Source organism: Homo sapiens, chromosome 1 (assembly GCF_000001405.40).
Source record: "Homo sapiens chromosome 1, GRCh38.p14 Primary Assembly".
Lineage (NCBI taxonomy): Eukaryota > Metazoa > Chordata > Mammalia > Primates > Hominidae > Homo > Homo sapiens.
The window spans coordinates 209,324,497-209,333,629 of NC_000001.11; the positions used below are offsets into that span (position 1 = coordinate 209,324,497).

At 41.0% G+C, this 9,133-nt stretch overlaps 1 long non-coding RNA gene across 1 annotated transcript; it reads left to right on the forward strand.

The window, feature by feature from the left end:
* The first annotated feature begins 959 nt into the window (after positions 1-959).
* On the forward strand, positions 960-4,036 carry LINC01696 (long intergenic non-protein coding RNA 1696). The gene is made up of 3 exons (NR_135085.1): positions 960-1,084; positions 2,852-2,976; positions 3,795-4,036. It is a non-coding gene; the product is annotated as a long intergenic non-protein coding RNA 1696 (long non-coding RNA).
* The last annotated feature ends 5,097 nt before the right edge of the window (positions 4,037-9,133 follow it).

Sequence of the window (9,133 nt, forward strand, 5' to 3'; positions counted from 1 at the left end):
GAGAAAGCAAAGGGAAGAAAAGACTGCAAAGCTCTCTGCTCACTTGGCCCTCTTCTGATTCCACCAGCACAGGTAGGCCATTTTCTTGCCCTGCCAGAAGGAGTAGAAATTGAACTGTGATCTGGAGAGCTATCTGTTCTGATCATTAGTCAAACACCGGGAGCCAGTTAGACCTAATTGTCTTTGAAAAATCTGAAGACCAAACACTTTTTTTTGGAGGTCAGGCTGCATAACTGAGAAGGAGTCAGAGGTACCTGGGATGAAAATAAAGGCATAATAGGTTCATATAGTTGGTCTGAAAATTAGCTTTAGGGATCTCCTTATGTTTGTTTCTTAATGGTGTGAAACATAATAATGGCTTTGGCCATAATAAAGATGAATTAGGGTTTTTTTTTCCTGAAAAATAATGAAACTTTAGTAAACATCCCAGGTTTATCACTTAATTTATCCCTAGCTCATGGGGAAAGAGACCTCCCCCCAACCCAGCCCCCATTTTTAATATTCCAAGCTACTAGATTTCAATAACCCACTCTCCAGCAATGTGTGTCTCATTTCCCTGGACAGACCAAATAGGCAATAACAGCCTCTCGGTTAGAACACTAATGTTGTGATTTAGAACTTCTGTCAAGATGAAAGATCTTTGCTGGGATCCTCAGAGGGCCCACAGCAACACTTCAACCCAGGCCCGGATAATGAAGTTTTCATTATTAAATAAAGATATTTTAGGAATGTCATAAACCATAAATCCACTCTCTTCTATTGCCCTGCCACCTTATTGTGTTTATTTCTAGCAAAAGTCCATCCTCTCTCAATTGCCCCAACTCCTCCAAGCTTGGTGTTTCTTGCCTTTCAACCCCTTAATCCCACTGTGATGCACTTATGTTGCCATGGCAATAGAAGACTGTGTCTTCTCCCACATTGAGACCCAAAGGCTATAAAAAAGGTAGATGTCTGCGGAGAAGAGGAGTGCCTGCTCCCTCTCCCTGTTGGCTTCCTCCTCCCCACCTTGTCCTGCCAATCAGCTGAGAGACTGACTCCACACAGCTTTATCTCACCTCAAGGAAATGCTAACATACGCCATCAGGTCTGGCTGTACTTAAAAATTATGGCACAATCAATTTTTAATGTGAATTTAGTGCTGGTTGGAAGCTTTAGACTCTGAGTCCTAGGAAAATGATTCATCTGTTTATTCATTTGCCAAATATTGGGGTGTGGTTTTCTCAAACCCCACCTGCCTTAACCTGGTTGTGCTCTTGCCGCTAAGATCACACACAGTCTTACTGAGGCTGCTCATGCCAGGCTCAGGAACCTGCTCCCTGTAGATCCAGCCCCATGCTGGATAGCAGAGGGGAAGAAGAATGGACACTCTTACTTTCCCAAGGCCTGGTGACACAACAGAGTCAGAGGGCAAAGAGAGCTCAGACACTTCTCAGCGAACTCCATAAATAAGAGAAGCAGGACATCTGAAATTAGGAACTCATTTAGCCACCCCCAACCCACTATTGAACTACACCTGACAAGCCAGCTGTCTTAAAGATTTAGGGGAAACTTTCCAGTCTATCCCAGGAACTCACTCATATTTGCATGTAACCAAATGTCTCTTTGCTGTGAATTAGGCTCATATTCAAAGGAGATGAAGATCTACTTATAACAGAAGGGGAGTGTTAATACTTAGGGAACTAGCTTGTACTTGTATTTTTGTTTATACTCATGATCCAAATGAAAGCAAAAGGAACTGTAAGATTAATCAAGGATGAATTTGTAGATATATCCGAGGACAAAAATGACGACTCCATATGGCTTCCAGCCATCTCTGTGTAGTTTCTTCCATCACAGTGATATTTGACATTGAACAGATTAAGCAATAAGATATAGTTTTTAAAAATCACTTTTTCATCTCCATTGCTCAATGAGCTTCAGGAACAGTTGGTCTCAGCAAAAAACACTCTTTTCTGAAAACATCTGAGAATCCAAATTATGAATTATATATATTATATATATGTGTGCGTGTATGTGTGTATATATATATATATATTTTTTTTTTTTAAAGTCCATCTAGAAGCACACATCAATCAGTTTGGGCTATTTATTGGAGGAGAGGACACAACAAGCCATAGAATGTTATCAGCACTTGAATTAATTGAAAATAAATTTCCCCTCCCAGCGCTAAACAAATGACGAATTTTTTGTATGATAACACACACCAGCCTGCAATAGGTTGCTAAGATTCCATTAATTTAAAAAAATCTCATTTGAAGATAGTTAACGGTTTCTGCATTTCCACAAAGCGCTAGTCAGACTAGTCAGATTACATTCCCCTGAACTTCAGGGTCTGTGCTGATTACTACTCAATTAGTTTTGATTCAATTCACTGAAGAAAAATGTCCATTTCATTAGTGTGGAGAAATAACCATTGGACACAAAATATATTTCTCAGCATTGCTATGGCAACTGAGATGACACAGCTGAGCTCAGAATGTTAATGCCTTCCCTGGGACTACGTTTTTAAGTCAGCATGCGGTCATTAAGCCTTGCTGGGTGGGGGTGGCTCCGCCACATCGCCATCGCAATTGGCAGGCAGAAGAACCCATGGCACTCCCAAGAAGGCTTGGTTCCTGCCACTCGCCTCCCCTGCCACGCCCCTGTGGGCTGGGCATATCAGCAATAGCATAGATTGTCATCTTGCAAGTCCCCAAGGCCCCTCTTTATGTGACATGCAGAAGTCCAGCTGGGCAGTGAAAAATGCGGTCTGTCATCTAGATGTGTTTTCCTATGTGTTGTCTGTTTTGTGAATGCATGCAACTGTCCGGGTGATGAACTGACTTTTGAGCTTGTCATTGTTGCATTCCAGCCAGCACACCATTGACAGAGAAGTGAGGAGCAAGTGGTTCAGCAGTTCAGTAAATATGGCGGTCAACCTGAAACACTCTGCCCACTTGAGGAAGACTTGACTGTCATCTGCACCCCGCAAGACATGTAGGCAAAGGACGGGAAAGCAGATTCTAGATTACGAAGCAAATAAATGGATCTGTTTGTATGCAATAGGGAGCAAACATGCCAATACCAGTCTTCAGGAATAATAGATGTGGCCATTATTTAGATGTTAATTAGGGCATAACCAAATTAAACCATAACAAAATTTCACTTGGGAGACTGAATTTTCCAGGTTAAATGAATAATTGCCCATATTTTCCCTTAAGCTATGGTGGCATAATCTTAGGTTACCAATTAATAATTGATTGCTGTATACTGTGTTCAAGGCTCCATGCCTTAGGTTACAAAGATTAAGTACATGGAGCCTACGCCCTCAAGGGACAGTTTAGTAGGGAGATAGCATATGAACTATTAATGAAAGCTACTATGTATTGAGTACTGACTATGTGCCTGGAAGTGTACTAAGTACTTTATATGCAGTATTTTAATGTAATCCTCATATTAGTATTATGAGGAGGATGTTAGCTCTATTTTATAACCAAGTACACTGAGGCTTAAAAAAGGGACTTGGCTAGTCAATTACTAGTTCAATTATGGCAAGTAACTGACAGAGCTGGATGCAAACATAAGTTTCTGACTCCACAATCACTTGGAACCACCATGCACACTGCCTTTCACGTACACATGAATAGAAAAGGCAGGCTGTAAATATTCAGGGCCCAGTGACTTACAAAAGTAAATACCTGATCTGTAAGGAAAGTAGCAAGTCTGATTGCATTTAATTAATTTAACTTCCCTTTTAAAATTCATCTTCAAAATAATGGGCAAAATCAGAGTGTTCCATTTCTTCCATTAAGCAGATGTTCTGCACATTGCCTTCCTGCTCCTTCTGCGACCACAGGGAGAGGAAGCACGGCTGCTGCAAGAGCTGCCAAAAGGCAGGGAGCAAGAGCTAATTCCACAACAAGAGCAAGCTCACAGTCGGTGATCTCAGTGTCAGAGTCCCACTCTACCCTCTTGGGATCCTATGTATCTGAGCTGCTCTATGTTTAATCATCATCATGTCACCATCAAAAATATTTATTAAACCGCTGCATACATATGATTCTGGTCACCCCATTTGTTCTTGCTCCCTTGGCACATTATGTAATTTCACTCTATTTGTTTCCAGTGGTTTGACATAATTTTATATCATCTTTATACCTCTTCAGATACAGTGCTCAAAACACCCAGACCCAGACCTCTCTGAGTTCACAGAGTAGATTCTTACCCTTCTCTTTGCCTGACCACAGCAGGAGCAGTGGATCTTGGTGACAGGGATCTTTGTTCAGGGCTGGCCCAATGGCTGTCTCTTCCATGTGAAGCAGAATTAACCAACATAGGTGGGGGCTTGCAATCTAAAATTATGCCACAGATAAAACATGCAATGAGCACACATGCCACTCTGTAGATGGATTTTGTTGCTAGAATAACATTTGTGAAAATGTATTCTAAGAAAACCTAATTTCTTAGAATATTAAAGGATGTTATAATCATGCAGTTCAGAACATGCTACTCCAAAACATGGCACCTTGGCATTTAAGAAAACAACAGAAGCAGGACCTTTGCCATTCTCCCCTGAAGTGGGCCATAAAATAATTCTCTGACTTTTCTCTAGGGTAGGGCATAAGACCCTCATTCCAGAGGAGTCCTCCCTGTACCCAGAGAAAAGGAATGAAGACACAGGGACACAGAGAAAAACATGAACAAGGCCATGCGCAGTGGCTCAAACCTGTAATCTCAGTATTTTGGGAGGTCAAGGTGGGAGAATGACATGAGCTCAGGAGCTTAAGATCAGCCTAGGCAACATGGCAAGACTCCATCTTTACAAAAAAAATTAAAAAGCTAACCAGGCATGGTGGCACATGCCTGTGATTACAGCTATTTGGGAGGCTGAGGCAGAAGGATCTCTTGAGCCCAGGAGGTCAAGGCTGCATTGAGCCATGTTTGAGCCACTGCACACCAGCCTGGGTGACAAAGCAATACCCTGTCTCATTTGGATTTTTTTTTAAAAAAAGAATCTGAACAAATAGGCCTTGCTAAGTTTCCCCCAAATTATTACCATTAGTAATATTCCTTTGTCCTCCAATCATACTTCTGCACCACTGTGCATAAAAACACAATCTTTTCTGTTTCTTTGGGTCTTCATTTCTGAAGGCTCTCATGTTAGGTAAAACTTAAATATATTTGTATGCTTTTCTCTTGTTAACCTGCCTTTTATTATAGCGGTCTCAGCCATGAACCTAAATGGGTAAGGTAAATATATCACTTCTCCCCTACAATAGAAAAACAAAAGGGGGAAGAGGAGGTTCTCCAGTCAATTATGTTTAGGAGATGCTGGGTTAAACAGTGTTAATCAGGTTGGTTTGTTTGTTTGTTTTCTGCCAGGGTTCTCAGAGATCTTAATATACTCCTGTATTGTATGATTCTCCAAGTGAAGAGAATGGAGGGAAGCATTATCTACAGATCCATTTTTATGCTGCTGGAGCACTGAGGCACCACTCTTTTGCAAGTTCTGGAAAAAACAGAGCAGGGGTCAGTTTAGAAGCCTAACCTGTATACCTACATCAGGAAGCTCGGAAAATGGCTTAGACCACTGGGACATTTTGCACGAAGATTCCTAAGCTTCATGGGGGACATGTTAAGGGCTTTGGGACTGATATTTGAGCCCAGGAAACAGAGCTACCAAATTAAGGCTTACAAATAAGACAAGGTTAAAAAAAAATCTGGCCCCCAATCCCAGAAAGAGTGGCCCAAATGGGCTGGAAACTAGCCACCCTGAGGTAGGAAAGAGTTCAGGAGGTAGGAGTGAAGGAAGTAGGAAGAGGTTCAGACCTAACCTAGCACAATGATTTATAACTTTTAGAGAAATCCTCTGTATAGAACTGAATACTTTGAGAAATGTAAGACAGAAAATTCTGATTGAATTAATTTCAACAATAGGCACATTGATACACTCAGCCAGTAAGAAGACCAGGGTTCAGAACTTTAGAATCTCCGTGATTCTCTTAGTTCACACCGCACATTGTTTCTTGGATCCCACATCAGCCTCTTCCTTGAGTTTGCTCTTTCAGTTTGCTGGAGTAGATAACTTAGGAAGGATACATTGAACAAATTTTCTAAGTCCTTGCATGTCTACAAATATTCCTGTTTTACTTTCACAATTGATTAACAGTTGGCTAGGTCTAAATTGAAAATCTAGGTTAACAAATGTTCTTCCTCAAAATATTGAAGTCATTTCTCCATTGCCTGTTGGCATCCAGTGATACTGCTGAGAAATTCAAAGCCAGCTTAATTATTTTCGCTTATGTATAACTTTTTCTTGCATTGACTTTTAGGATCTTCTTTTTAACCTTAATCTTCTGCAGTTTTGACTTTCTAAATTGGGATTTATCATTGTTTTACCCTATTCAGACCTCATTGATCCCTTTCAATCTGCAAATGGAATCTTTAGCCCTGGAGAATTTTTTCTAGTACATCTTTGATAGTTTTCTCTCCTCAACTTTCTATATTGTCTCCTTCTGAACTCTTTTTTAGCGTTTGGAGCTTCCGGATCAATTCCTTATGTCATCTATACATTCTCTAGTTTTCTGTTTATCTCCCTAATTGTTCTAGATTCTAGAAAATATCTTCAACTCATCTTCCTATCATTCTACTAATTTTTAAAAAAAATTAAATATTAACACTTACATTAGTTAGGGCAACACTATCTGCTGCTGTAATAACCCCCAAATTTCAGTGGCTTATCATAATAATCACTAACTTCATATTAGCATAACTTTTTGAACACAGGTTCCCCTGTTTAGCAGGCAGCTCCTCCCCATCCAAAGAATCAGAGATTTGGACCCTTTCCACCTTTTGACTCTGCCGTCCTCCAAGGCCTCACATTGCCTTGCATTCTGCCAGAAGAGGGAGGAAGGTGATGAAAATCTTATTCTCAACAGCCTTGGCATGAAAATGTCACATGTCTCTTCTGCTCACATTCCAACTGGTGAAAATAGTCATTTGGTCCCACTAGATGCAATAGGGAGGAGTAGGGTGCACTGTAAAATGTACTTCCTGGTTAACAACTGCTTCCCCATAATAACTACATACTTGGGAAGGAGGAACACAAATTTTGTGTTCAATTGATGACCATTAGCAGTCTTTGCTGTAGTAATTATATACTTTTTTTTCTTTTTGTGAGCTCAGTCATGTTCTCTGATTGTTCCTTGCCTAGAGTATACTTATCTCTTTTGTTCATAAGTGATTGCATCTTTTTCTTTTTTTTTTTTTCTTTTTTTGAGACAGAGCCTCTCTCGATCACCCAAGCTAGAGCACAGGAGTGCAGTGATGCCATCTCAGCTCACTGCAACCTCTGCTTCCCTGGTTCAAGCAATTCTCATGCCTCAGCCTCCCAAGTGGCTGGAACCACAGACACACACCACCATGCCAGGGTAATTTTTGTATTTTTGTTAGAGAAAGAGTTTTGCCATGTTGCCCGGGCAGGTCTCAAACTCCTGGCCTTAAGCAGTCTGCCCACCTCGGCCTCCCAAATTGCTGGGATTACAGGAGTGGCACTTTTGTCTAAGATCAGCTATTCTTTGTTATTTTGGCCATTCTTTTTTAAAATTATTTTTATTTTGCAGTTTTGAAGCCTGTTTTATTTTGAATACTTGTTCCCAGTGATCTTGGCCACTCTCATTCATGCTGTTGTTTCCTTTAGTTCTGGAGATCCTTGTTTATGTATATTAAAGAATTGAGATGTAGGTTGATTATTCTGAGTAGATGGATTGAGTTCAACTACTGTGGGCTTGTAGGCCTAACACCCCCAGCAGTCCTCTTTCTTGGCGGGAGAGCTGACGTCTTTGTACAAGGGTGGACTTATCCACTAGCAGTTTCACTCCAGGTTACGTGGAATCAGAATGGGAGAGTCAGCAGCCACAGACTACAAGCTCCACAGGGACCAGGAAAGGAAAGACTACTCTGGGCCACCACTCCCAATTAAGAAGCCTTGGTTACTCCAGGAAATTCATCTTTAGAGAAGAACATCTAGATGTTTTCCTAGGGAGTTTGCCGGTCATTCTGTGAACAGGACAGGACAGGAGAGGGTGGATGTAACCAGCAAAGCCTTCCACAGATGAATCATAGATTAACCCACCTCTTTGCAATTACTCTTTCCCCTTCTGCCCTCCTTACCAACACCAAGCTGCAAGTGTGTCCAGGTTTTAATCAGCATGACAATCCTACCTGCACTGCAGCCTCACCCAGCAAATGCTCAAGCCTGGACCGCTTCCCCCACTGTTTCCTCTGTGAACATGCTTCCATTCATCCTGTCTGATGTGCTGTAACCTCTCAGCTGATGAACCTGCCCACCCCCATACATTTGCCACCAGGTATTCATTGTTTTGTATACTTTCCAACTATCATTTTGACGATGCCCGACGAGGGGGAAAGTCTCCATTTGCCAGCCTCTACAAAATTAGAAAAATACTTGTAAATGTCCTTTGGAGAATATCACCAAGTTTTATGAGAAAGAAGGGCTATAAAAAATAAAAAGCAGCGGCTAATAGCATTCTAAAAAGATGTTGGTCAGCTTTCGGGAGAAATTACCTTTCAATTTACATGGACTGACTCCATACATTCATTTATTCGTTCATTTTTTTGTAATAAATACTGAAAGTTTATTATTTACCACAGGCTACCACAGGTAGCAGGGCAAGAACCATGAACAAAAATGGTCTTCTAGTCCCATCCTCAAGGAATTTAGAATTTATGGGTAAAATTACCATTTGAAATTTGAATTTATTTGCACACTGTTAGAAGTTCAGGATACTAAGAAAGCACATTTTAAAAAAAAGCACAGAAACCAGACTTTGTATTTCATGGAAGGACTACTGGAGGAAGTAATCTGAGAAATAAAATAGAATCAGCCACATTAAGGCATGGGGTAGGGTGGGATTGAGTGTTCCAAATAGAGGAAATAGTATGCTAGAGCCTCAGAAGTGGCTCCCACCTGCCCATACGAAAAACTTCACACATGAATATTGACTGTGCTCGGAATGCCCTCCCATCTACCACTCCCAATCCACCAACTGTGGCAAAATTCTCAACTCAGGCACTCACCCACTCTTTGAGGAACTAATGGAATCTTCCCCCACAGGTCTAGGCATTTTCTTCC